Raw genomic sequence first — 27,831 nt, 5'->3', positions numbered from 1 at the left:
TTAGAAAAAGAAAATCTCAGTAAAGGGGAGCATGTAAGAACCGGTTGAAACCTTGAATACATTATGATATGAAACCAAGTATATCAAAAGATGGTGCTTGAAAACAACAAATTTTACCACCTGACTCAGACTTCTTTGTCGTTGTTTTATTTAAAATGTTATTGTCTCTGATTAGAAAATACAGTCATGAGGGCTAAAAACTGAAATGATGTGAAAAGGCATCCATTAAGCAGTGTTGCCCCACCACCCTTTCCATCAGTCTTGTCTCATGGGGATGGGGAAAATGAAGACAGAACGCTTTGCCTTGCTTTGCAATCCCTCCTTTGAAGGCCTTCTGTCCCAGGAAGCCAATGTTCATTTGATGTGGAAGAGGGACCTGTGTTTAACCAGAAGCTGTCCTCCCTCATCCCTTTCCCATGGCTTACACGCAGAAGGGAGAGGAGATGACCAGAGGAGAAATCAGGGGAAGAAAAGGCAACAGGGGAGGCAAAGGGAAAGGAGAGGAATGCTTAAAATATACAGTGAAATTTGAGTAGGATTCTCTACTCAAAGACTTCTCTGGGAAGTGTCCAGAATTGACCACACAGGTGCTGACGGTAGAAAGAACACAGACCCAAAACCCTGATCTAGTTGCATTAACTCCATTAGCCCTGAGTTCCTCTGTAAAATGAAGACTGTGGAGGCACCAACTAGAGGATTTCTGTGACCTTCTCAAACTCTAAAATTTTTGGCACTGGACTGTTCCACTTTGAAGGGTCAAGAAAGAAATCTGGAGGTTGCAGAAATCAGGGTCAGGCGCACATACACGCACGCACGCACACACACACACACACACACACACACACACACACACACAGATCCAGCAGCATCCTTGGAACATCCTGAAGTCAAGAAAGGCACAGCACTGTCTGCCCCGATAGAAGGAATTCCAGAAAACAGCCACGAGGTTGGGCCACAGAATTTCCAAAGAGAGCAATCTACAAACTGGGGGTTGATTTCCCAGTTCCTGGATCTCAGCAGTCAACACACGAGAAGGATTTTTTTCTGAAGCTGCCACCTCCAATTCTGAAATAATCCCATGTTTCAGACTGGGGCCGGGACGGTGGCAAACCTGCAGACCCTGGCAGCAAGATGAGGGCAAGGAAGGGAAAGGTCAGCTGGGCACAGTCCAGTTCTCAGCAGTAATGACAGAAATGAAGGAAGGAAGCTCAGAATGAGTGCACGGGGGAAATGGGTTTTGCTGATGCATTTCCAGGGCCGGCCGTACTCTTTGTTTTGGCACACTTTTCCTGACAAACAGCCAGTGTTCTCAACACATAAATACTAGTCCACGTTAACAACAATAGCATATGAGACCGCTCTCCGTAAAGATGCCAGATTGGATGCAAATGGACTGGAAATACCTTGGAGGGTTTCACAAAAATAAGACAAAGGGCAAAGGAACTTTGCCAAAGGAGATGGAGAGCAATTCTTTAAAGTTAGTGGGAGGGAGGAAGCAAAGAGCTCATAAATACAAGCCTCTTAAAATGGGACGCATTTGCCTCGCGCCTACTGGGTGTCTGCAGCTCAGCTTGGTGCCCCACACAGGACACCGACTTTAAGTGGCTGCCTTTGCAAGGCTGAGAGGCCATGAGGGTTGATGCCTGAAGTGTCAGCGCCATCTAGTGGAAACATGGGGCATGGCCGCTTTGGACGGCCTCAGCCTAAAATGAGAGGCAGAGAGACACGCTCTATTTCGCATCTCACAATGCAAGATGAGAGAAAGGCTGTTGAGTTTTATTTCATCATCGCCCGTTTAGGTCAAAGGAGATGCCACTTTGGCTCCCAGTCATCAATCAACTGGCAACACCCAAGGACCAGGCTGGGCTACATTTGCACATTCCATTTCAGCCCAGGTAGAGATGGAGACACTTATAAGAACGGCTTCGGAATGTTCTCCAGTTTGATTCTCAGATGTCAAAGCCTGTAGGCCATGAGAGGTCCCTACTTAAACAGAACAGCTATCCTTTGGTACCCTCTCCAAAGAAAAGAAAGAGTAAAAAAATAATAACTTTTAAAAATAGCTTATTTATGTGCAGAAGGTGTGAGACCTGAAGATGAGTTAACAGCCGCAGCAGTGGGAGGAGGGGTGACAGGTACTGCTCAAATGAGCAGCAACCTTCTGCCACCTGGCAAGAACAGGCGTTCAGTGCAGGGCTGGCCTGCCCCTGCAGGCTTCAGAGACCACTGCGTTTCTTAGAAGGGAAACAACGGGGCCGGGCGCGGTGGCTCATGCCTGTAATCCCAGCACTTTCAGAGGCCACGGTATCCCAGCACTTTCAGAGGCCAAGGTAGGTGGATCACGAGGTTTGGAGTTCGAGATCTGCCTGGCCCATATAGTGAAACCCTGTCTCTACTAAAAATACAAAAATCAGCCGGGCATGGTGGAGGAGGAGGAGGAGGAGAAGGAGGAGAAGGAAGAAGGAGAAACAACAGTCCAGAGATGATGCCATTTCCGGGGAAAGAGGTTGACTTGAGGAAGGCAGCCATGGGAATAAAAGCTCCCACAGATCCTTTTCACTAAAAAGAAAGCAGGCCGGGTGCAGTAGCTCACGCCTGTAATCCCAGCACTTGTGGGAGGCCAAAGCAGGAGAATCTCGAGTTCAAGACCAGCCTGGGCAACAGAGCAAGACCCCCACCTCTACAAAAAATATATTTTGTGTGTTTTTCAACAAGTGATTCAAATTGCTGCTCAGATTTTAAAACTTACTGTAACTATCAGTGTAAAGACCCATGCCTGGATCCTGTTTCATTTTTATATCAACTTGGTAAAAATGCTGTTCTTGACACCCTGTCCTCTCTATCCTCCCTCAAACCACATGTGATCTCTGAAAAAATAAAATTAGCCAAGTGTGGTAGTGCACGTCTGTGGTCCCAGCTACTCAGGAGACTGAGGCAGGAGAATCACTCGAGCACAGAAAGTTGAGGCTGCAGTGAGCTATGATTGTGCCACTGCACTCCAGCCTGGGCCATAGAGCTAGACCCTGTCTCAAAAAAAAAAAAAAAAAAAAATGCCGATCCAGAGTATTTTGTGATTTTACCTTTTACTCCTCCTCCCTTGCTTGGTTGGTAGTATGAAGACCAGAGAAGGAAAGAAAAGATGGAAAGGAGGCTGGGCATGGTGATTCCCACCCGTAATCCCAGCACTTTGGGAGGCCAAGGCGGGCAGATCACTTAAGATCAGGAGTTCAAGACCAGCCTGGTCAACATGGTGAAACCTCGTCTGTACTAAAAATACAAAAATTAGCCAGGCGTGGTGGCGCACGCACGCCTGTAATCCCAGCTACTCAGAAGGCCGAGGCACGAAAATCGCTTGAACCCAGGATGCGGAGGCTGCAGTGAGCTGAGATCATGCCACTGCACTCCAGCCTGGATGACAGAGTGAGACTCTATCTCAAAAAGAAAGAAAGAAAGAGAGAGAGAGAGAGAGAGAGAAAGAAAGAAAGAAAGAAAGAAAGAAAGAAAGAAAGAAAGAAAGAAGAAAGGAAGGAAGGAAGGAAAGAGAGAAAGAAAGTGGGGGGGGAATATGCATTTCTTGAGTCCCTAGCCTATGATAGATAATATATGTGAAACCACATTGCTTTATTCTCACAACAAACCTCATTAGGTCACACCTCCTGGGAAAGACCAGAAGGATCTGTGTCACTATGTGTCCTTCCCCCTTTTCAGTACAAAGCCAGGCTAATCTTAGCGCGAAGCCTACCAACCAAACCTTTGCGGCATATAAACATCCCTAACTCAGCACATCATCCACTCACCTCCACCTCCCTCGCCTCTGCCTCACGCTGGTTTTTCCTTTTGATGAAAAGCAGAGCGTCAGGCTCTTAGGAAGTAACTCCCTGACTTAGCTACACATTTTTACATGTCACTCAGTTTCTATGTAGAGGGATTATTTTTTTTCCATAACGAAAGAGAGATTTCCTATTGCTCTGCCCTACAGAGCTCTTTCTTGGATTAAGTCAATTATCATGGTTAGGTGTCACATGTTTTTGCCAAGAGACATTTGTGAACTAATTCTGTCAAACAGGGGATCTGGATTTGTCCTCTCCCACAATTAGACCTTGGGTGAAACATGAAACCGGCTTTGAGCTCTCCTCCCTGCCTTTCCTGGGCTGCCAAACCCCAAGCCAAGGTTGCCACTCCTCTGCTTTTCTGGAGTAAAACCTCAGGCCCCGTGATGATCCTGGCTCTCACACCATTGACAGCCTCAAAAATGAGGGGAAACACACTTGTTTTAGAGGGAACGGGAGAGACACATGAAGAAGGGTCAAGTACAAACCCAAAGGAAGTGAACCTTGAACTTCAGCTCCAACATGAAGCTCTCAGGGCAGCCCGTGTTCTATCCCCCAGAGTCTAATGCTCATTACTGGTAACTGCTGCCACCACCATGAAAGAGTGGCCACCACATCTTTATTGCATACTCAGGTGAATAACTTATTATACAATGAACACTCCTCCATTAGGAGACCATGCCCACTTACAGAATGCAGCCGTAAATGCGGTAAATCTATTTACAGAGGTTGGGGTGCAAGATGAGAGAAGTATCAGCCCCAGGAATTTGAAGTGAGAATGATCTACAAATTCTCCTGACAAGGAGCAACCGGGCTTGTGCTAGTGAGGTCTGAAAGAATTCCTGGCAGAGCGTAGGGGGAGATTAGATCTCGGAATTGACAGCAAGTTTGGGGACAGTGCAAGAAGAGAGGGGTGACCTGTGAATTGGTGCTGGGGAGCTGCTGAGGCCCAATGTGAGGCAGCACTAGAGAGATGAGTAAATTTAGGGTGATCTTTAGCCTCTCCTACCCAGGCAAGAAGGGTTGGGGAGCGGGGGTGCCAGCAAGTTGGCTTCCAGTGTAGATTCAGGCCAGTGGGCTGAGAGAGGCTTTTGCTATTTTTGCTCAGATATGCAGGTCTGCTCTGGGCCACAGAGCCTCACAAAACCCACTGTGAGTTAGAGGAGCAGGCCCCTAGAGCTGTGTGAGCCAGCGTGAGCTCAGATGACCAGACCTTTAGTCCATGGAAAATAACAGCAAGATTAAGGGCCTAGGCTGGGAGCTGTGGCTCACGCCTGTCATCCCAGCACTTTGGGAGATGGAGATGGGAGGATTGCTTGAGCACAGGTGGTCGAGGCTGCACTGGGCTGTGATCGCACCACTGCACTCAAGCCTGGGTGACAGAGCAAGATCCTGTTTCAAAAAACAAACAAAAAGAGTAAGGGTCTAAACTTGAGTTGCCTGAGACTCCCACTTAAAAGAAGTATCCAAAGGATGAGACAAAAAAAAAAAAATACTACAGCGCCTCTAAGAACTGGAGTCTTACTAGCCCACATCAGCCCCAGCATGGAAGAATTGTGGTTGAGGCTGGGAGGGAGGCAAACTGTTCCCGTAGTGTCTTGTACAGTTTTCTCAGAAGACTCAAGATTTCGCCCACATCCCTTTGAGCTCCCGCTAGATCTGCCGCCCGGCTGCATTTGTCCCACTCTTCAGGACAGAGTTAGCTGCCCTCTTTCTTTACTTCATAGTCTTTGTAAGGGCTCGGCCAAGCGTGGGCCCGTGGGATGGAGAATTCCTTTTGGGGAGGCTGGTTCTGAAAAGGAAACAGTCATATCGTGAAACCCACTCCAGTTCCTGCCATTTCAACAGGTCTCCAGTCTGGGCAGAAGTCTCATTTCCTTCCCTTTCTCCCAGGCCTCCCACCCCCAAGTCCTCTCTATGCCAAGCACTCATTCTTACCCACTAACCCCGTGAGGCCGCTTAGAGGAAAGAAGACCCATCATTCCTTCAAGTGGCCATCTAGGGGCCATGAGAAAGGTAACATCGTCTGTTTCCAAAGGATCAGTGTTCCTGAGGTGCTAATGCCTTTGATGAAGAGGGAGAAAAAAATCACTTACCTGCAGCTGAAAATGTGTGGAATAGGGGGCATAGAGCGTGTCCCCTGTCTCTTCAAAACCTGAAATGGAGGAACAGGAGAAATTAAACCACTGGGGCCCCCACCTATGTTCACCCCATTGTATCACTTATCACAGTGTGACATCTTGCCCATTTAATTGCCTGTCTCTCCAGCAGACCTTAAGTTTCTTGGAGGGACAGAGACTAGGTCCTCAAGCCTAGGACCAGGCACAAAGCAAACACAATATTGGTTGAATGAATGAATAACTATGATGACTAGGGACGCCCCTTTTCAGAACTTCACCAGAGCCCCACCTCATCCTAGGACCACTTCAAAAGCACATTTGAAAAGTCATGGGCTGGGCATGGTGGCTCACGCCTGTAATCCCAGAACTTTGGGCGGCCGAGGTGGGCAGATCACAAGGTCAGGAGATCGAGACCATCCTGGCTAACAAGGTGAAACCCCATCTCTATTAAAAATACAAAAAATTAGCCAGGCGTGGTGGCGGGCACCTGTAGTCCCAGCTACTCGGGAGGCTGAGGCAGGAGAATGGTGTGAACCCAGGAGGTGGAGCTTGCAGTGAGCCGAGATCGCACCACTGCACTCCAGCCTGGGCGACAGAACAAGACTCTGTCTCAAACAAAAAAAAAAAAAAGAAAAAGTCATAAAAACCAGTCATTTCAGATATAGATCTGGCCAGGGGTGTACCTAGAGTGAATCTCACTGGGGATTTACCTATTTCAACTGCCTGACAAGGAAAATATGTATATATTTGTATCATTTTCATTGGGAAGAGGCAGGATTGATGAGCAACTGTTTTCTGTGTATTTGGGGAAAACCAAAGGCTTGGGAAACAAGGATAAACACATGCAATCATCATGAATGCAGTTCAAAGCAATTCATTTATTTCCCACCAAATTTATGGGCCCAATTTGCTGAACAAACACTTAAACGCCTTTATTTAAGAGATCGTGGCTGGGCACGGTGGCTCATGCCTGTAATCCCAGCACTTTGGAAGGCCTAGGCGGGCGGATCATGAGGTCAGGAGTTCGAGACCAGCCTGGCCAAGATGGTGAAACCCCGTCTCTACTAAAAACACAAAAAAATTAGTTGGGCATAATGGTGCACGTCTGTAATCCCAGCTACTCGGGAGGCTGAGGCAGGAGAATTGCTTGAACCTGGGAGGCAGAGCTTGTGGCGAGCCAAGATTATGTCCCTGCACTCCAGCCTGGGTGACAGAGCGAGACTCTGTCTCAAAAAAAAAAAAAAAAGAGAGAGATGGTGAAGCACATAAAGATTAACCAGAATGATCCCTCCTTGCAGCTGACACTGGAGAGTAAGGAACATATGACAGGTACATAAATAACAGTGCAATGAGACAGACCCTGATAAGAGCATTTCAAAGTCCTACAGATGCACAGGGTGGAGTGATTACCAGGGGAAACTGGGGAATGCCTGATCCTGGAGAAGGGCAGAAGAGGGAGATGGTCACACCAGGCAGAGGACAGACACACCTGGAGCACAGGCACAGGCAGGAAAGCACAGCGACTTGGTTCATCTGGACTGCGAGCAAAGCTTCAGAGGTTGTTGGTTCCAACTGTGGAAGGGCTCAGGAAGGATTTGATGGGATGGGGTGGCTCAGGGGACCCAGGGAGGAAAGTGAGCAGCAAAGCATGGAGGCCAGAGAAGCATTTTAAGGGAGAAAGCTGACAGTGGCCCTTGAAATGAATGAAGGAAGGAAGACTCATCAGTGAATGAGAACAGGAAGTACAGGAGTGAGGTGATGGAGTGAAGCCACGGAACGGACAGGAGGGGCTGGGTGGTTAAATAACCCCTCCTGCCCTCCTCCGCCTCCCTTCAGACTTCCAAGTGCCCTAGACAGGGACCATAGCTGCAGTGAGTAGCACCAGGAAGTTCCACACCTCAGGCTTAAGAGCAAAGGAAAGACCTATTTTTAGCTGGAGCTAAGAACATGGCCTTGGAGGTTCCTCATTCCTATCCCAAAACCACCCACCCCCTGTGATTAGACTTAAAGGTCAGTGTAAACCCTGGAGACCAATGAATAGGTCCCTATGAGCAGGAGTACTTTCTGGCCATCAGTTTAGCCTCTTTTGCTTATGAAAACAACACGAGAACATCTGGCTTGTCTCAACTCCAGATAAGAGCAAAATCACTTGATTCTTTTTTTTTTTTTTTTTTTTTTTTTAAATAGAGATGAAGTCTTGCTATTTTGCCCAAGCTGGTCTCAAACTTCTGGGCTCAAGCAATCCTCCCACCTCAGCCTCCCAGAGGGCTAGGATTACAGGAGTGAGCCACCATGCCTGGCCTGAATCATTTGATTCTTGTATGTCAAATATGATCTGTTCCTTCCCATGGGCCCAGAAACATACACAAAAAATGTGGTTCTTCACACTAAACCAGAATCCTTACCAATTTTACAGAGACTTCCTGCTGGTTTGTGATAAAAGGGCTTTCTCCCTTCTCTGCTCTGTGATCACTGCAGGAAATCATGGCTTGGTTTTATGCACTGAAATCTACAAAGGCTCCACATTTCTGGAAGGAATGCCTCGTTATCTTTTATAAAAAACACAACCTCATCTACTTATTGCTGGGAATTTGTCTCGTTATCCTTTTTCCATGTCTTTGCTGCATCTTATTTTGATGCACAGAAACCTCTGAGGTGTTCTGCCCCACAGGAAATTACAGCACAAGAAAGGGGAAGTGAGGAGGGCTCTCCCAGTCTACACCAATTGTACAAAGTACTCAATAAAGACTCCAGAGGCCAGCTTCGTGTTCTACTTGTCTCTAACAGGCTGGACGACTTTAAGCAAGATCTGAGCCTTAAGGAACTTATCTATTCTATCAAGGGTATAATCTGGAAAATCTTGCATGTTCCTTACAGTTATAATATCCTATGATTCTCCCCCACCTTTCTACAAGGGATTCTCTGCCTAGCCAGGCTGCATCTGTACCTTGAGTGATTTCCTCTTGAGAGTAGGCTCTGTTCTCCACACCATAGCTCTTCTTCACGAGTTGAGGTTTACAGAAAGCATCCTCAACAGGATAATCCATGGGGTTTCGTTGCTTTGTGAGCAGCCAAAACTCGGGACTAACATAAGCCAACAGGAACACCCAGCCATTGGCAGCCAAGGCGGAGCTGAGGATGGTGTCATCCCACCTGCGGTCAAAGTCAGGAAGCATGAGCAGGGTGATCCAGGCCACCCAGATGGCAATGGAGAGGAGCATCGTGAGGTAGATGTGGGCCCCATGTCTCTTCCAGCCCGTGAAGGAACCACAGAAGGTGAAGGAGGACATGAGGAAGGTCAGCGCCATCAAGAAGAGGACGTAGGTGAGCAGGAGGACAAAGTCTTCATTGCGACGAGGAGCGGAAAGCTCAGAAAAGACATTGACGTTGGTCCTATTCATGGTCAGGACAATATATTCAATAGCGATAACATCCTGGACTAGGCTGAAGCCCACGGCCAGACCCAGAATCACCAACAGGGAAAGGGGCTTCCTCCCCCGGACGAGCTTGGTCAGACTGACAGCATGAGCCAGCAGGCAGGAGAAGCAGATGGAAAAGAGGATCCCAAAGAGGAAGAAGCGTGTGGGCCCTGTGCTCCCGTCCAGTCCGATGATGAAGGCGAAGGTGAGGCCAAAGATGCCCAACACACCCAGGAGGAAGAGAAACTGAGTAGGCAGCATTTTTCGCCTGTTGGAGTCCTGCACCTTGCAGACGAGGATCGGGAGAGTGAGCATGAAGGCCACCGAGGTCACAACCCCGGCTGTGGCCACCGTTTCTAGGACGATGCCCCAAGCTTCAGCCTTATCACAAAGTCTGTAGTACTTGGATTTCAGGCCATTGCGGCAACCATCAGGGACTGTTGTAGCCATTCTGGACCTGCAGAAAAGGAATGTTGGAGTGGGGAGAAGGTATTGAATCTCCTAACACAGTCCTCAGACACAGAAGACTAAAAAAGGATTAGGAAACCAATTTTGCATGTTTAGCCAGGGTTTTGACTTTGAGCTTACTACATTAAGTAAAGCTACTAACTTTCCTCTACCTCCTGTAGTAAATTCTAAAACCTGTTGAAGAACCAGGAAGAAATCCCATATGTCCCTTCCCCCAGTTTAACTATATTAATATTTACCTTAAAGCCAGAGAACCTAACACTCTGAAGAGGTATTTTGAAGCCTAATCTCAAAAAACTTCACAGGGCTGGACGTGTTGGCTCATGCCTATAATCCCAGCACTTCAGGAGTCTGAAGCAGGAGGATCATTTGCTCTCTGAAGTTTGAGACCAGACAGGGCAACATAGCAAGACTCCATCTTTATATTAAAAAATTAGCTGGGCATGGTGGCACGCACCTGTAGTCCCAGCTACTCAAAAGGCTGAGGTGGGAATATCGCTGGAGTCCAGGAGTTCAAGGATGCAGTGAGCTATGATCACGTCACTGCACCCCAGCCTGGGCAACAGAGCAAGACCCTGTCTCTTGAAATATATATACGTGTATATATTACAAATAACCTGCCAGGGTTCCTGATATTTTTTTACTAGTGTTTTCTTAGGAATTAGTGAACATGGAACTATCTAAACTTGAAGTTAACACTTTAATCATAACGTTGCAGCCTCTACCTTTGGCCCTGATACAGTTATCATTTGTAAGCATCCTATTCTCTCATGGATAAGAGGAGTTATCTGAATGGTAGATTTTTCTTTCTCTCTCTTTTTTTTTTTTTTTGAGACAGAGTCTCGCTCTGTCGCCCAGGCTGGAGTGCAGTGGCACGATCTCGGCTCACTGCAAGCTCCGCCTCCCGGGCTCAAGTGATTCTCCTGCCTCAGCCTCCAGAGTAGCTGGTACTACAGGCATGTGCCACCATGCCCGGCTAATTTTTTTTTTGTATTTTTAGTAGAGACGGGGTTTCACCGTGTTACCCATGATGGTCTCTGAATAGCAGATTTTTCTACAGAAGGCCGAGCATTCCCTTCTGAGCCAGCGGCTGGGTCCTCTTCTTAGGCTCTGTGGTTCAGAATTATTCTGCCCCTCCTCCTTAAGATTTGTTTTTGAGTTTTTGTTTTTTTTTTTTTAGACGGAGTTTCGCTCTTTTTGCCCAGGCTGGAGTGCAATGGCACAATCTTGGCTCACCGCAACCTCCGCCTCCTGGGTTCAAGCAATTCTGCCTCAGCCTCCTGAGTAGCTGAGATTACAGGCACGCGCCAACATGCCCAGCTAATTTTGTATTTTTAGTAGAGATGGGGTTTCTGCATGTTGGTCAAGCTGGTCTCAAACTCCCGACCTCAGGTTGATCTCAAACTCCTTCAGCCTCCCAAAGTGCTGGGATTACAGGTGTGAGCCACCGTGCCCGGCCTCCTCCTTAAGATGTGTAAAGATGGCTCCACTAATTCCGAAAAGTTATGAAAGGGGTCTTGTCTGTCATAACCAGCTCTAAATTGGCTACCTGTAAAGAGGAACGTCCTGGATGGCACATAAATAGCGGGTAATCCAACAAAAAATAATCTTCATAGCTAACATGTTCATTTTTAGTATTGCTCCAATTTTTACTCCTTTTTGGGGGGATGGGGGGAACAGAGCCTCGCTCTGTCACCCAGGCTGGATCTCGACCCACTGCAACCTCCACCTCCTGGGCTCAAGCCATCCTCCCCCGACCTCAGCCTCCTGAGTAGCTGGGATTACAGGCGTGTGCCACCACACCCCGCTAATTTTTGTATTTTTGTAGAGATGGGGTTTCACCATGTTGCCCAGGCTGGTCGCAAATTCCTGGGCTCAATTAATCCTCTTGCCTTGCCCTCCCAAAGTGCTGGGATTATAGGTGTTGAGTCACCCCGCCCAGCCTCGAATTTTTACTTCTAATCACTCTATATATACATTACTTACTTCATTTCATAGCAACCCTATGAGGTAAAACTATTATCCTATTTTACAGATGAGGAAACTGAGGCAGAGAAGTCAAGTTACATGCCCAACATCATACAACCAGGAAATGGCACAGCCAGGATCTGAATCCAGGTTGTCTGGTGCCAGGACCCAGGTTCTCAAGTACTCTACGTGTCTCCTCTCAAATTAGCCTTAAAATGAGATCTGAGATATCCTTCTCTCTCTCCTCCTCTCTACGTCTCTTTCTCTCTCTCCCTACCCCTCCCCTCATCAGATGCCTCATTATGACTCTGGTTCCACTCTCCTAGTTCAGCCCCAGGAGGATAGGAGATCCCAGGTAACGGACCATCCACAAAGTGAGAAATCTACTTACTCATTCGGATAATCAGGAAGCCACTAGCTGTATTACAGTTTACTTCCCATATATCTGTCCTTTGTCAGGAGAAAGGCTTCTTTCTCTGCCCCTACAATCTTCGTGTGAATTTTAGACCCAGCTCCTTGACCATACCCCTAGGAAATCTAAGTCCTCAGGATTCAGGGCACAAGTGGGAAGATAAATTGGGAAATCGAAAAAGAGAAAGGAGTGTCCCCATTTCCTCAAAACAGGTGGCTCACAAATTCCAAAGTCAATGTCGAATAAGATGTTGAGATTCAACAAGGCTAGACATAACTATAGTCCAGTTTGTCAACAATTTCATTCAAATTATTTTATTGCTTATTTAAGTGTCTTCTACACTATTCTTTTTGTTGTGTTCCATGCTTTTTGGGCATGGGATTTTTTTTCTTGAGTTTTTTGTTTCCCAATGAGATTGTTCACGTGGCAATAAAAAGTTTTGAACGGACTAGAAGAGAACTATGTTGCAGCAGGAAAGAGGCCAGAGTTAGAGGAAGGGAAGGCTCGCAGAGGTCACCTCCAGCCCTAAAGAAGGACAGAGATGATGCAGCAAGAAATCCAAAACAAGAGGAAGGACTCGGGTTGGGAAGCAGGAAAAGATACAAAGCATCCCCTGAATCCTGCCTCTTTCCTTAGAGCAGAAAAAACAGCTCGGAAAAAACAACCTTCTTGGCCGGGCACAGTGGCTTATGCCATTCCAGCACTTTGGGAGGCCAAGGCGGGCAGATCACCTGAGGTCAGGAGTTTGAGACCAGCCTGGCCAACATGGCGAAACCCTGTCTCTACTAAAAATACAAAAATTAGCCAGGCATAGTGGCACGCACCTGTAATCCCAGCTACTCGGGAGGCTGAGGCAGAAGAATTGCTTGAACCCGGGAGGCAGAGGTGCAGTGAGCGGGGATCATGCCACTGCACTCCAGGCTGGGTGACAGAGAGAGATTCCATCTCAAAAAAAAAAAAAAAAAAACCACAAAATTTTCTTTTCCACTAGAAGAGATAGTCATCTTACCAAAATTATTTAATTCATATAGCAAGTAGGAAGATTGTACATATGTATATATGCAATATATACATATACATACATATGTATGATACATATGTGAATATCATGTGAATATATATTATCACGATATTATGTATAGTGTGTTAAAGTGACACCAGATATAGCTTAAATCGATCTTCCCGAATTTTAATAAAATTTGGCTCTCCAATCTCAACTTTATTTTATGTAGTCATTCATTCAACAAATATTTACCGAGCACCACTATGTGCTGATCACTGCTCTAAGCACTCCATGGTAAAGCCAGAAACAGACACGTTTCCACTTCTACCACAGTAGAAGAGAGAGACGGATGGCACCTGTCACTATGGCCATGGGCCTCCCACCGCCTTCCCTCACAGTGGGTCTGTCACCTAAACACTCTACCCTCCTGGAAGCTACACCACAGCCATCGCTACCACAAGCAGAGCACAAAGAATGGGCTATACCTCTACAGGGCAGTGCAGAATGAGAAATAGGAAGAAAAAGGCAAATGAGGTTCAGATATAGACAGCCCCTGCAATCCAAGCACCCAAGTCTGATCCGTCTTGCCTACAAATGTCCCCTCTTTGGTCCCCTCTTTGACATAAGAAAGAGGAAGTATGAGGGCTCTCCCAGGCTACACCGTGAATGTGGAAGAGGAAGACCCTATTTCCTTCAAGGGCGGCGAGCGGAAGGAACTCAGGCCCTGTGCACTTCACTGTGTCTCTCCACACCCCGGCAGATTAATCACCAGGGTGTTGTCTAGCAGGAAAGGTATTTCCCTCTTCCCTTTGATCTCTCCCTCTCCCTGCCCCTCTCTGCCAATTGCTCCTTCCCCACCCATCAGGTATTACTGTTTGTGGACAAGTAGTTGTTTTCATAATTACCTGATTGTTATGAGGGACAGGATCGTTATGAGGGACTTTGAACCTGATGACTCTAAATCTTGACAGAGATTGATGTGGTGTTTGCCTCAAGAACAGTTCTGGTACTGGACAGACAGGAGGGAAGGCAGAGCCCCCATCTAGAACCTATAGGCTCCTCTTCCAGCGCAGCTGCGCAGGAGGGTGCTGAGTCTCAGGGCCTTATAGAACCCACAGACCAGGATCCAACAAAAGTAATGGCAGTGGGTGTAAAGAGAAGAAAAAACCAGTTTCCCCAAATGTCACCTCCACCTCCCACCTCCCAATCATGCAACAGGGAATGGAGAAATAGTTCTTGAAGTTCCTTTTAAACATTATTTAGGCCAGCCGCAGTGGCTCAGGCCTTTAATCCTAGCACTTTGGGAGGCCGAAGCGGGCTGATCGTTTGAGCCCAGGAATTCAAGAGCAGTCTGGGCAAGATGGTGAGACCACTGTCTCTAGAAAAATAAAAATGTAAAAATTAGCCAGGTGCGGAGGGGCACACTTGTAGTCCCAGCTACTCGAGAGACTTAGATAGGAGAATTGCTTGAGCCCAGGATTTCGAAGCTGCAGTGAGCTGTGATCACGTCACCGCAATTCTGCCTGGGAGATAGAATAAGACCGTGTCTATTTTTAAAAAATTAAAAATTAAAAAAAAACTTGTTTTCATTATAGAAAGTTTTATAATGGAGTCCCATGTATCCAGCACTTCATTTCAAAAAATTATTACTATATGGCCAATTTTGCTTCGTCTGCATTCCCCACCCCACTCCCTAGACTATTTTTAAGCAAGTCTCAGACATCATGTAATTTTATCTATAAATAGTATGTGTATTTTTTTTTCTTTTTTCTTTTTTGTTTGAGACGGAGTTTCACTCCCGTTGCCCAGGCTGGAGTGCAATGGCGCGATATCGGCGCCCGGCAACCTCCACCTCCCAGGTTCAAGCGGTTCTCCTACCTCAGCCTCCCGAGTAGCTGGGATTACAGGCATGCGCCACCATGCCCGGCTAATTTTGTATTTTTAGTAGAGACAGGGTTTCTCCATGTTGATCAGGCTGGTCTCAAATACCCGACCTCAGCTGATCCACCCACCTCAGCATCCCAAAGTGCTGGGATTACAGGCGTGAGCCACCGTGCCCAGCCCTTTTTTTTCTTTTTGAGATAGATTCTCACTCTGTCACCCAGGGTGGAGTGCAGTGGTGTGACTGTGGCTCACTGGAGCCTTGACTTCCTGGGCTCAAGGTATCTTCCCACCTCAGCACCCACAAGAAGCTGAAACTACAAGCGCATGCCACCACACCTGGCTAATTTTTTTAATCTTTATTTTTTTAGAGATGGAGTCTTGCTATGTTCCCCAGGCTGGTCTTGAACTCCTGGCTTCAAAGGATCCTCCCCCTCTCGGCCTCCCAAAGTGCTGGGATTACAGGTGTGAGCCCCCATGTCCAGTCTAGAACGTCTCTCTAAAAGATAAAAACTCCTTCTTAACCACACTTTAATAACTAACAAGAATCCTTTATTATCAACTATCTAGTTAGGATTCATATTTCCCAATTCTCTCACAAATGTCTTTAAAAAAAAAAAACCATCTTAGTCTATTTTTTTTAATCTGGATGACTAATTAGTTTGGAATTATCATTCTTAATTCACCTCTGTTAGCCTCCCCCACCCCATCCCTAAGCTGATAGGGATTGCTCAACAAGTCTAAAATGTTCTGAGTACTTTGAATTTAGTAAGAGGAAAATAAAACTCACTGGAGTTATTAATAAACAAGTCTGCACTGAAAGGGTGCCATGTTGCCCAGAGAATGACCCAGGTAAGGGAAAGACACCAGGGGATTGGAAGAGATGGACAGGGTTCTGAAAAACTGAAAATGATTTCTAGAAAGCAGCATTTGAGAGGGAAAAGAGAAGTGATCAGCATTTAGGAATATGAACTGTCTGGAGCTAGAGAAACAGCCTGGGAGAGGAGCAAAGGGCTAGAGCAGGAAAGAGAAAAGAGAATGAGACTAGCGGTGGTTTGGATATTATTTGTAACCAAAGTCAAAGGACGGGAGATCTAGAGTCCAGCCAACAAAGAACTTGCTCCTATAAAAACCAAATGGACCCCACCCTTCACTTGACGTAGAGGTCCTTTCCTCCAGGATGGTTTTTTTTTTTTTTTTTTTTTGATGCCCAAGTCTGATGAGACACACATCTCATAAATTCTCAGACACTCTCAGCTTTTCCTCCCGTAGCACTTATTACACAACCCAGCCTGTCAGTAAGTCTGTGTCTCCCTCTAGACTCAAAGGCTCTGTGCAGGCGGAGACTGAGTCATTAAACGTTGTCTCTCCCCAGCCACTTGCCTAGCACCTGATGCTCAGTAAGTACCTAACCAGAATAGATGAGGCAGCAAGAGAATGGCGCTCGGTGTGTGGGGTAAGGGGAGTCAGGAGGAGGACGGGCTGCTCGTGAGACAGGGTAGGATGGGCTGTGCCTGGTTTCCTCTCAAGCCCCCAGGCTGCTACCCTTGGTTCTAGCCACCTTTCCTCCCACCCTCCTTCTCATGCAGGCTGCCAAAAATTGCACTTTGGGTCTGAGATTAGGAGCGCCTGGCCATGTCTGAACCCCGCTCCTATCTTAGTGGCCGCAGGTGGCTCCCAGGAAAGCATGAATCCTGAGGTTTTACTGGTAAGCTGGGAGGGATTAACTGGGATCCAGTCATGTGCTCCACCCAGTACTCAGTGACTAAACCCTGCACTTTGGAGGGAGATGGTAATGTTTCAGCATGAGTAGCCTCTGGCCTTGGGCATGAGCAAAGGACTTTGAGTATGAGGACGAGACCCTCTTCACTTATTCCAGCTGCTAACAATTAACACACAGCCATCCAGTAACACAAGGATGCCCACAGCTGAGATCCTGGAATCACTTGTTGCTGTCTTAAACCTTTTTGGAATGAATCTAGGCATGAAAGAAAGGGGTTTTTGGTTCTTTTGTTTGTTTGTTTTTTGGGTTTTTCTGGGTTGTTTTTTTTTTGTTTTTTTTTTTTTTTTTTTTTTGAGACGGAGTTTTTACTCTTGTTGCCCAGGCTGGAGTGCAATGGCATGATCTCAGCTCACTGCAACCACCATCTCCCAGGTTCAAGTGATTCTCCTGCCTCAGCCTCCCGAGTGGCTGGGATTACAGGCATGTGCCACCACACCCGGCTAATTTTGTATTTTTAGTAGAGATGGGGTTTCTCCATGTTGGTCAGGCTGGTCTCGACCTCCCGACCTCAGGCCCGCCTCGGCCTCCCAAAGTGCTGGGATTACAGGCGTGAGCCACTGTGCCCGGCCCCAAAAGAAAGGTTTAGAAAAACCAGTGGGGAAGAGGGAGAGGGAAGGGAAGAATAAGAACAAGAGGAAGAGGGAGGAAAGGAAGAGGAGGGCGAAGTCATTTCTTGGGTCAACTCCAAGCCCTCTGTTCCTCCTCCCCTTTAGGGAGAAGGGGTTTCAGCTGCCAGGCTGTGTGAACAAGTAAGTCACTTGACCTCTCAAAGCCTCCTCTCATCTATAAAATGCAGGACACGCTGCTGAACTACGTGGTCTGAACTCATGTTCAGCTCCACCGTTCACCCACCTGGGGAGCTTCATGTACAAAACTTCCAGATGTCTTTCTTTCTCCCCCTCATCCTCATTCTTGCCCCATCTCCTGTCATTAAAAGAGTATGTGCCACAAACTCCTACCCAAACTAAAAGCCAGGGCTAGAGGTAAGGTTGAAGGGTCTGAAGAAGAGACACAGCAAGGGACTGCCCACCTGAAGGACAAAGCCAGAGGCTCCTGGAGCAGCGCTGACCCTAGACATGGCCTTGACTGACACACAGCACTGACCACTGTGCAGGGAAAAACGTGAACATGTGATGAGTCTCCCGCTTTGGGTTTCTAACCTGAGACTCCTCTTCGCAACCAGAGAGATGGGGAAAGTGTGTAGAGTTGCTTGTGACTAGGCCTGGAAGTTTGCCCATGCTTATTCTACGCAGTCCTTCCCAGAGCATCTGAGAATGAATCATCTGGGGCCCAGAACCTTGCAAAGACAAACTGACTTTGTCTTCCTTCCTATGAGATTTCTCTCATTCTGTCAAAATGTGTCTTCGCGCCAGCCCAGCCCTGAAAATGTGTGACTTTCTAGCATTTTCATTTTTTCTCTATTCTCGAATTGCTACATTCAGTCAGTAGTAATAACAGTCATGATGTAATTATGAGTAAGAATAATGACAGCTACTGTCACCTCCTGAGTCCTATTATGAGTCAGGCACTATGCTGAGTAGTTATGTATTTTTACACATATTCTCTCATTTACATGCTTTTACATCCATTACCTCATTTAACATTCCTACAGCCCATTTTATAGGTGAGAAACCTAACAGAGTGAGGAAGGTACATGTCCAGTGTCACATGGTCAGAAAGAATAGCTCTTTATAAGTAGTCATAATCATAATTCAATCCTCCTTTTCACCTCTAAATCACTGTCATCATCTCTAGAGCTTTTCTCCCTGACCCCAACCTCTCTCCATTTAAACCACCATATATTCAAGCATTGGCTTGCTGAGAAGTCTCCAAAACAAGCAACCCTGGCCGGGGGCAGTAGCTTACGCCTGTAATCCCAGTACTTTGAGAGGCCGAGAGATGGGAGGACCACTCGAGCCCAGGAGTTTGAGACCAACCTGGGCAGCATAGTGAGACCCCCGCTGTACAAAAAGAAATTAAAAATTAGCCGGGTGCTAATTTAGCCAGGATCACACCTGTGATCCCCCTACTCGGAGGGTGAAGCAAGAGGATTGCTTGAGCCCAGGAACTCGAGGCTGCAGTGAACTATGATCATGCCATTGCACTCCAGCCTGGGCAACAGAGTGAGACCCTGTCTCAAAACAAAAAACTAAATAAATAAATATAAAATTGTGGCCACTGCCCTTGGAATGAATAATAATCACACTGACATACAACTAAGAAGTTATGGAATACATTAGGAATGCTGAGGGCACATGGAAAACAGTGACCCATTCTACCTAGTGGGGTTTTAAAATAATTATTTTTAATGTTTAATGCTTTAGGGAAGAAAGCAGGGAGATGAAACATGAAAGATGAACAGGAAATGGTAGGAGATTTTTATGAAGGTAGAAGAGACAGGGCTTTGGGAATGGAAAAGCCCAGGTTAACTCCCAGATTTCTGGCTTAGGCAACTGAGTGGCACCACTGTCAGAGCCTAGAAATACAGGCTTGAAAGGAGAGATGCTAAGTGTAGCTTTGTTGGCTCTTTGATAAATATGCGACCTGCACGTGGAGCTATCCAGGAATAACAAGTCAAAAGACCCAAGTCCTCTTGAGAGTTTCCTCTGAGCCATATATGGTTTCCTTTCTTTTTTCTTTTTTTTTTTCTTTTGAGACAAAGTCTCTCTGTCGCCCAGGCTGGAGTGATGCAATGGCACAATCACAGCTCACGGCAGCTTCGACTTCCTGGGCTCAGGTGATCCTCCTACCTCAGCCTCCTGAATAGCTGGGACAGGTGCGCACCACCACATCTAGCTACTTTTTGTATTTTTTGTAGAGGTGGGGTCTCGCTATGTTGCCCAGGCAGCTCTTCAACTCCTGAGGCTCAGGTGATCTGCCCGCCTCGGCCTCCCAAAGTACTGGGATTACAGGCACAAGCCACTGCTCCTGGCCATATATGGTGTTATTTAATCCTCACAACAACCCTATTATTATGCCTTCCTTTAACAGCTGAGGAAACTGAGGCACAGAGAAATTACATAACTTGCCCAAGATTACATGACTCTTAAAAGCCAGGCTCCTTGACACTGGGTTGTGCTGTCTCTGCACCGTGGGCATATGGGTTGGTGCTCAGGAGAGGTTTGGGCTGTAAGCACAGACTGGCAGTCATCACCTAGAGTGGTATCTGAAGCCTCAAGAGGAGACAAGATCACATGGGAAGCCAAGGACAGAACCATGTGGAGCACCATCTCATCTAGGTAGGAGTCCGCAAAGGAGGTTAAAAAGAAATTATCGGCCGGGCGCAGTGGCTCACACCTGTGAGCCCAGAACTTTGGGAGGCCGAGGCGGGTAGATCACCTGAGGTCAGGCGTTAAGAGACCAGCCTGGCCAGCATGGTGAAACTCCATCTCTACTACAAATACAAAAATGAACCAGGCATGGTGGCTCACGCCTGTAGTCCCAGCTACTCAGAAGGCTGAGGCACAAAAACCGCTTGAACCCAGGAGGCAGAGGCTGCAATGAGCTGAGATCACGCCACTACACTCCAGCCTAGGCAACAGAGTGAGACATGGTCTCAAAAAAAAAAAAAAAAAGAAGCGTATTCGCTCCTTTTTGTCTGTCACGGCAGATCCAGCCCCAGTTTGAGCTTCAAGGCCTTTCTCCAATTAGTCCTCCCACCTATCTCCTCCTTCCTCCCTAACTCCCGTCTCCACCTCCGTGCAAGGCAAGCAAATCTTCCTAGAGTTCTGTATTTTCCATCTGGAAGGGAATTTGGGTTCATTTAAGGTCTTCTCATGCTCTTTGCCTCAACACATGAATTATTCTCCTAACCAGAAAGATCCTCTCCCTCCTATTTATGATCCACTTACCATATTTCTGCAAAACTTTGCCCAAGATTTAACCTCTATCATGAGTTTTTTAAATTATTATCATTATTACTATTAATCCTATGGCCTTTTTTTTTTTTTTTTTTTTAAGACAGGGTCTTGCTCTGTACTCCAGCCTGGGAGTACAGTGGCATGATCTCAGCTCACTGCAGCCTCTGCCTCTCAGGTTAAAGCGATTCTTGTGCCTCAGCCTCCTAAGTAGCTTGGATTACAAGCATGCGCCACCACATCCAGCTAATTATTATATTTTTAGTAGACGCAGGGTTTTGCTATGTTGGCCAAGCTGGTCTCGAACTCCTGGGCTCAAGTGATCCACCTACCTCAGCCTCTCACAGTGCTAGGATTACAGGCGTAAGCCATCACACCTGGACTTGAAATCCTATTGCACTCTAAATGTGTCGATCTCTTCATGGTTTTTACAATTAAATATTTCTTGGCACTCAAGTTTTTCCATATCTTTGTTATATATTACAAATTAATATCACTGCTGAGCTGCCTATCAGACAACAAGCTTCTTTGTGGCATCTATCTCCTAGGAAGATAGGAAGGTGGCGTGAGGCACCGTGCCTGGCCAGACAACAAGCTTCTTAAGAAAATAGAGCAAACTTCTATTTGTTGGTATCCCCCTTACTCTGTACTCTACACAGTGATTGCTGAGCAAATGCTTTGGACTAAGACTGAGTGCTGAATATTTACCCAAAGCAAGTTATTTATTGGCAAGTGTGAGTAATGGGGAGGAAAATTTTTTGGAGATGAATATGTGCTGATGTTAATCCTCGTATTTCTACCCAGGCTGAGTTCTTCTAAGGGAGAAGTCCTACAGAAATCCCTCTGCCCTTGATAAAGGATTATTTATAAATGCAAAGCGTCTACAGGGAAATCTCCAGGATCCCCTATTCTGGGTAGCCATCCCAACTCTGATGACATAAAAGTGATGAATCATGGCAATAACTTATGAATAACATCTGAATAACATCACTGAATTGAGTTTCTATGCAATAATGAGAGAAAATAAGTCATCATAGCACCACAGGCAGATCAAAACAAGTATAACCACGGTGTTCATCCCAATTTCTACACTTCCAGATAGTTCCCTGGGCGTATTACCATCTTCCTGTTACTCTAAACGAAACATGTAGACTTGATTAATGTGAATATAAAATGAAATACTGGAAATCATCTTTTTAAATAAAGCTTAATATTTGAGTGAAGCTTCTAAATCTCTTATGCCCGAATTCAAAGAAATGAAATTTCCAGAAAATAGGAAAATAAAGTGAAGTCCTCTACTAGTATACTATCCTTTTTTTTTTTTTTTTTTTTTGTGAGACAGAGTCTCACTATGTTGCCCAGGCTGGAGTGCAGTGGCGTGATCTCGGCTCACTGCAAGCTCCACCTCCTGGGTTCACACCATTCTCCTGCCTCAGCCTCCCGAGTAGCTGGGACTACAGGCACCCACCACCACGCCCGGCTAATTTTTTTTTTTTTTTTTTTTTTGTATTTTTAGTAGAGACAGAGTTTCACTGTGTTAGTCAGGATGGTCTTGAACTCCTGACCTCGTGATCTGCCCGCCTCAGCCTCCCAAAGTGCTGGGATTACAGGTGTGAGCCACCGCGCCGGCCCTCTACTAGTATACTATCTTAAGGCTCTCAAAGATCCCTTCATTTAAATATCTTATTCTGATACATAAGGGTAATATTCACTGGATCCAACAAGTTCAAAGCTAAACTGATCACCTCTCCTTACAAGCCTATCTTTCAAAGCCCTGAGAATGGCACTACCATCTACTCAGTTGCTAGTAGATCTAAAAATATGATATGATATATACTGTCTAATGCAGAAGGAGATGGAGACAACCAAACCATATAGCCTAAAATTAGATGACAATAACAAGTAACTATTATTACAAGAAATGTAAATGGTAACTATTTTGAAAAAAAAAAAGACTAAACTATATCATACCTAGAAGAACCTAACCTAAAACAAAAAGATACACAAGAGTTAAAAGCAAAAGAACAGAAAGAAATGAAAATAAAAAGAAATACTAACATAATATTTATTTAACAAGTATTATGTGTCAGACACAAAGTTAAGTAAGTTGTTCAAGGTAAAATAATTAAGTAGAAGTTAAGGTTTTAATATCATACAAAGTTGTAATCAAAGCAAAAAGATATTATATTGACCAAAAGGCTTGTTTTATAATAATTAGGGATGCTCTACACTGAAGATAAAACCATCCTGGGCCGGGCACGGTGGCTCACGCCTGTAATCCCAGCACTTTGGGAGGCTGAGGCGGGCAGATCACGAGGTCAGGAGATCAAGACCATCCTGGCTAACACGGTGAAACCCTGTCTCTGCTAAAAATACAAAAAATTAGCCGGGCATGGTGGCGGGCACCTGTAGTCCCAGCTACTCAAGAGGCTGAGGCAGGAGAATGGCGTGAACCCGGGAGGCAGAGCTTGCAGTGAGCCGTGATCGCACCACTGCACCCCAGCCTGGGTGACAGAGCGAGACTCTGTCTCAAAAAAAAAAAAAAAAAAAAAAAACCATCCTAGACTTTTATGCACCAACTAATATAGCACCAAAATACGTAAAACAAAAAGTACTGAAGGCTGGGTACAGAGGCTTACACCTATAATCCCAGCACTTTGGGAAGTGAAGGCAGGAAGATTGCTTGAGCCCAGGAGTTTGAGTCAAGCCTAGGCTACATGGCAAAACCCCATCTCTACAAAAAATTTAAAAATTAGCCAGGTGTAGTGGTGGGTGCCTGTAGACCCAGCTACTCAAGAGTCTGAGGCAAGAGGATCACTTGAGCTTGGGAGGTGGAGGTTACAGTCAGCCAAGATTGTGCCACTGCACTCCAGCCAGGGCAACAGAGCAAGACCCTGTCTCAAAATAAATAAATAACTGCTGAAAATACAAGGAGAACCCAAAGGCAATACTATAGTTGCATGAGACTTTCATACTTCTTTACCAGTCCTTGGCAGATAAAATATACAATATGAATAAGAACATGGTAAAATTGTGTAAATGTTCTATGGATACTTAAATAGAAATATTCTCTATCTTCATATCTTATTAGATCTCCATTACTAATCATATAATTCAGATCCTCTATATCAGTGATCAGCATAGATTTTCTATAAAGGGCCAGGTTATAAGCAATTTAAGACTCTGCAAGCCACACATTTGTAGCATGAAAGCAGCATAGATGATACATAAACATATGAGCATTGCTGTGTTTTAGTAAAATAGTGGATTACAGGTTGTGGCTCATGCCTATGATCCCAGCACTTTGGGAGGCCGAGGCAGGCAGATCACCTGAGGTCAGGAGTTTGAGACCAGTCTGGCCAACATGGTGAAACCCTGTCTCTACTAAAAATACAAAAATTACCCAGGCGTGGTAGCGGGCGCCTGTAATCCCAGCTACTTGGGAGCCTGAGGCAGGAGAATGGCTTGAAACCTTGAAACCGGGAGGCAGAGGTTTCAGTGAGCCGAGATCACGTCACTGCGCTCCAGCCTGGGCAAGAGCGAGACTCCATCTCAAAAAAACGAAAACAAAAACAAAACAAAACAAAACAAAAATCACTTTATTTACAGAAAGAGGCTATAGGCCATATTTGGTCCATGGACCATAGTTTGCCATCTCTACTCTATTATGATTGCTTAATAGGAACTATGGTCCATGGTCCAAATGGAACATTTGCCAAAAATGAGCATATTTAGAATACAAAGACAAATCTGGAATTAGAAAATAAGAAATGTGCAGACCATATAGTCTGACCACAGTGCAATAAAAATGAGAATAAAAGAAGCAAACACCCTGAACTACTCAGGAAGTCAAAGATTCCTCAAGCAAAAATACTCCTCAATTTATTGTTTACTATACCACCATATTAATTCCTCAGCTTAATCTTGGGACTTTAAATAGTAGTGGACCCAGAATGAGAAGAATAAAATCACGCCGTCAAAATTGTTCTTCATACCCTGTTGTCTTCGATTACCATTCAAGACTAGAATACAAAAAAGCCAGTTCTAAAGGGAACTTCCAAGGCGACGTGTGCAGATGGAGAGGGGCCAGAATCGAAACACAGGAGGGGAAACTGGGGGCCTCCCCAAGACCCCTATGAGGAACTCAGGCCCAGCCCCTTGCCTGATCACAGTTCCATGTTCCTGCGGAGCTGGGAGGAGAAATCAGTCTTCCTGACTCAAGGTTGAGAGCTCTTCCCGGGAAACCAAAGGGTTCTGCTCATTCCATTCTGCCCTTGAGGCACTCACCTCTCCACGCCCTTGGAGAGGTCCCTTGTTTCCCACGTAGCGCCTCTCCCGGCCCTTCCTTCCCCTCATTCCTTCCCTCACCTAGCAGACACCGGCATGCAAACCTGGAGGGTGTGTGCCCCCTCCGCCCTCACCCCTCCCGTGGTCCCTAGCCCATTGTGTCTGAAGTAGCTGAAGTGTTCCCCTTCAGGAATGAACCCACAGCAGTGGCTGATTCGGCCGAACCCTTCAACAGGTGTGGTGTTTACACAAGCCTCTGAGGAGACAATCAGGAATGGAAAGAAGTCAGGAATGGAAAGTCCTTCAAATTCCTTGATTCTGAGCAGGTTTCAGCTGTTAGCTAGCCTTTCCCATGGATGTTTAAAGCTATCTGTGGCCGGGCGCGGGGGCTCACACCTGTAATCCCAGCACTTTGGGAGGCTGAGGCGGGCAGATCACCTTAGGTCGGGAGTTTGAGACCAACCTGACCAACATGGGGAAACCCCGTCTCTACTAAAAATACAAAATTAACCAGGAGTGGTGGTGCATGCCTGTAATCCCAGCTACTCGGGAGTCTGAGGCAGGAGAATCGCTTGAACCCGGGAGGTGGAGGTCGCGGTGAGCTGAGATCGCAACATTGTACTCCAGCCTGGGCAACAAGAGTGAAACTCCATCTCAAAAAATAAAATAAAGCTATTTGCCAGCCTTCCCCATGGATGTTTAAGGGACCAGATGGAACAGCATCTATGCTATTCCCAAATCCTATCCATAAAGTCGGTAGTGGAAGGTGCACTCTCAGCGCACATTCAACTTTCATCTGTCCCAGGTTTCTGAGCAACTCAAGGCACACCAGAGTGGAACTGACCGCCCACACATCAAGAGAAAAGGGATGGGCTTCTAGATCTAATTCCCAAAACTCAGAAGGGCTTTTTGCAGCATCTGGGTAAAATAGTAGCTGTCACCGTGTCCTCCCTCCTGCCCCTGCCCCTTGTTTCCCACTCCCCCTCCACTCCCAGTACCTTCGGGTCCTCTGAGATCTTTCTCCCTCTATTCTTTTCCTGCAGAGTGATCCCAGAGCTGCTCACCTCCTGCCTGGCCGGATTCCATCTACTCAAAGTTTGTAGAATGTGTCCGAGCAGAAACTATTACCCTGATTATCTCTTTGCTCTCTGCCTCTATCTTAGCCTAGGAAACCCGCAAAGGGGAAAAAAAAAAAAAAAAATCTGAGTTGTTAAACTAGAGGAACTGTTTCCTAGGGAATTTTTTTCTCATAGCCAACTGTATTCCATTACCAGGATTTCTCTCCTCTTCTATCCCACCCCTCCCAACGCCCCGCTCTCCCCAGACGATTTAAATCCGGAGGCCCCAGCGCTCTGGGCTCCTGGCGCCTCACTTACCCTAGTGCCAAGGCGTTGGCCGTGAACTTGGTGCTGCTTCCCGCGCGCAAGAGGGCAGCAGGCGAGCTCCTCAGTGCTGGGGGAGACCTTGGACAGCTATCCCGCCCTCGCACTCTGAGCAGTTGTTATAAAGGCGGCCCTCGCCGGAGGGAGGGAACGAGCGAGGGGTGAGCAGAGGGACAAGGAGGGGGAGGGTCGAGGGAGAGGACACGCCTATTCCAGTTCCACGGCACTTCATGCTGTTATGAAAATAAAGTCCCCGTGCCAGGGAATGACCCAAAAACCGTCTGACGTCAGAGGCACAGTCACCCCTGGAAGCTGGGCGGGGGTGACCACCCGGCCCTGCCCAGCGCATCGGACTCCTCCGAGACGTGCTCACGCGCTGGTCCCAGGGCGCCGGCTACGAGAGGGGAGCCGGAGCAGACCAGCTCCTTACGGGCCCCGCCAGCTGTCACCTCCCGGGGGAGCCACACCCGCCTCCCCGCAGGCACTCGGGTCCACCCGGGGCAAGGGCCCAGCCCGCGAGATTGCAGCAGCTCCGCCGTCAAGTCCAGCGGGACAAGCCAGCCTTCCTCCACTTTCTTTGACCTTAGCTTAGCCTTTCTCTCCATCACTCTCCCCCAGCCACTGCCGTATGGGAAGCCAGGCTTCAGAAAAAGGAGGCAGCCACCTTCTCAGGGCTCCCCAGCCAAAGCCACGTGAAAGCCAAGGAAAACTTCCCCCACCAGGTCCGTAGTTAGCTCAGCAGCTCCACCTGTCAGAGTCTAGACAGGCACCATTAGTGCTGCCCTGGGGCTGAGAGATCAGTATCTCTCCTTTCCTAACTGCCTCTCCTAAAGCCTCGACAATGCAGGCTGATTGAACGGGGGCGCCAGATGAAATTATGAAATGAAGGAATTTGCTTTGGTGCCTGGTTTCCCCTCCCTCCACTGCCCACTCCTCTTCCAGGATCAAGCCAATCGGACCGAAACTCGTCTTTGTTTACGTGTGGAACGATCCTGGAGTGGCTGCCCGCCTGTGTCGGGGCTCAAGCCAGGTTCTACCCCATGCCACGGGGAGGCAGGAGGGACTCTGTTTTTAAAGTGGTTATCAGCGCGCTTGGTAAACTAATCTGGATTATTCTGCATATGAAGAAATGGGGGAAGGCCCAGGGCTCCCCAGCTTTCTCTTCACTTCTCCCCACACCCCAAGTCTCCAGAGCCTAAAGTGCTTTTAAAATGTGACCTACTGGAGACTGTGACCCCACCATTGTTAGGTTTTTATTTCACTCCCAAAAAACCACAGGCAGTGCCTTGAGTGTTGGAACACTTTGAGGTATGCAGCCCAGGGGTCTGTGAGTCCACCCATTTCACACCTAAGACTCCCAGGGGTGTGTGTGGCAGAGTGGGGGTGGGTACTGAGAGACTGGTGGGACTGCAAATGACAGT

The 27,831-nt window shown here is 46.8% G+C and overlaps 1 protein-coding gene and 1 non-coding gene across 2 annotated transcripts, besides 4 other annotated features; both read right to left on the bottom strand.

Moving 5' to 3' along the window:
* Nucleotides 1–131: 131 nt before the first annotated feature.
* On the bottom strand, nt 132–26,507 carry GPRC5A (G protein-coupled receptor class C group 5 member A). Its single transcript, NM_003979.4, has 4 exons — nt 26,405–26,507; nt 8,898–9,826; nt 5,927–5,985; nt 132–5,622 (listed from the first exon to the last, which is right to left on the bottom strand). The coding sequence occupies exons 2-4, from the start codon at nt 9,817–9,819 to the stop codon at nt 5,530–5,532; spliced, it is 1,074 nt and encodes a 357-aa protein (NP_003970.1). The 5' UTR covers nt 9,820–9,826; nt 26,405–26,507; the 3' UTR covers nt 132–5,529.
* On the bottom strand, nt 2,151–2,240 carry MIR614 (microRNA 614). Its single transcript, NR_030345.1, has one exon. It is a non-coding gene; the product is annotated as a microRNA 614 (primary transcript).
* Nucleotides 11,150–11,294: an enhancer, noted in NCBI's record as "145 bp 12:13059781 sequence used in MPRA reporter constructs". NCBI's record gives its function as "activates a minimal TATA-containing promoter with rs850934 allelic activity by MPRAs in UACC903 melanoma cells {active_cell/tissue: UACC903}" and the evidence as "EXISTENCE:reporter gene assay evidence [ECO:0000049][PMID:36423637]".
* Nucleotide 11,222: a transcriptional cis regulatory region, noted in NCBI's record as "rs850934 or 12:13059781 MPRA-significant variant associated with a GWAS melanoma risk locus at 12p13.1". NCBI's record gives its function as "allelic transcriptional activity by MPRAs in UACC903 melanoma cells {active_cell/tissue: UACC903}" and the evidence as "EXISTENCE:reporter gene assay evidence [ECO:0000049][PMID:36423637]".
* Nucleotides 12,144–12,288: an enhancer, noted in NCBI's record as "145 bp 12:13058787 sequence used in MPRA reporter constructs". NCBI's record gives its function as "activates a minimal TATA-containing promoter with rs850936 allelic activity by MPRAs in C283T melanocytes {active_cell/tissue: C283T}" and the evidence as "EXISTENCE:reporter gene assay evidence [ECO:0000049][PMID:36423637]".
* Nucleotide 12,216: a transcriptional cis regulatory region, noted in NCBI's record as "rs850936 or 12:13058787 MPRA-significant variant associated with a GWAS melanoma risk locus at 12p13.1". NCBI's record gives its function as "allelic transcriptional activity by MPRAs in C283T melanocytes {active_cell/tissue: C283T}" and the evidence as "EXISTENCE:reporter gene assay evidence [ECO:0000049][PMID:36423637]".
* Nucleotides 26,508–27,831: the final 1,324 nt, after the last annotated feature.

Source organism: Homo sapiens, chromosome 12 (assembly GCF_000001405.40).
Source record: "Homo sapiens chromosome 12, GRCh38.p14 Primary Assembly".
NCBI lineage: Eukaryota > Metazoa > Chordata > Mammalia > Primates > Hominidae > Homo > Homo sapiens.
Note: the sequence above shows the minus strand (reverse complement) of the source record. Positions and strands in the feature narration are given on the sequence as shown.

What these genes read in the sequence shown, in the direction of transcription:
- GPRC5A (NM_003979.4), bottom strand. Translation starts at nt 9,819, where the DNA reads ATGGCTACAACAGTCCCTGATGGTTGCCGCAATGGCCTGAAATCCAAG. An exon ending in TCAAGAGGAAATCACTCAAG is followed by an intron (nt 5,986 to 8,897) that starts GTACAGATGCAG and finishes CCTCCATTTCAG; the next exon opens with GTTTTGAAGAGACAGGGGAC. An exon ending in CCACACATTTTCAGCTGCAG is followed by an intron (nt 5,623 to 5,926) that starts GTAAGTGATTTT and finishes TTTCCTTTTCAG; the next exon opens with AACCAGCCTCCCCAAAAGGA.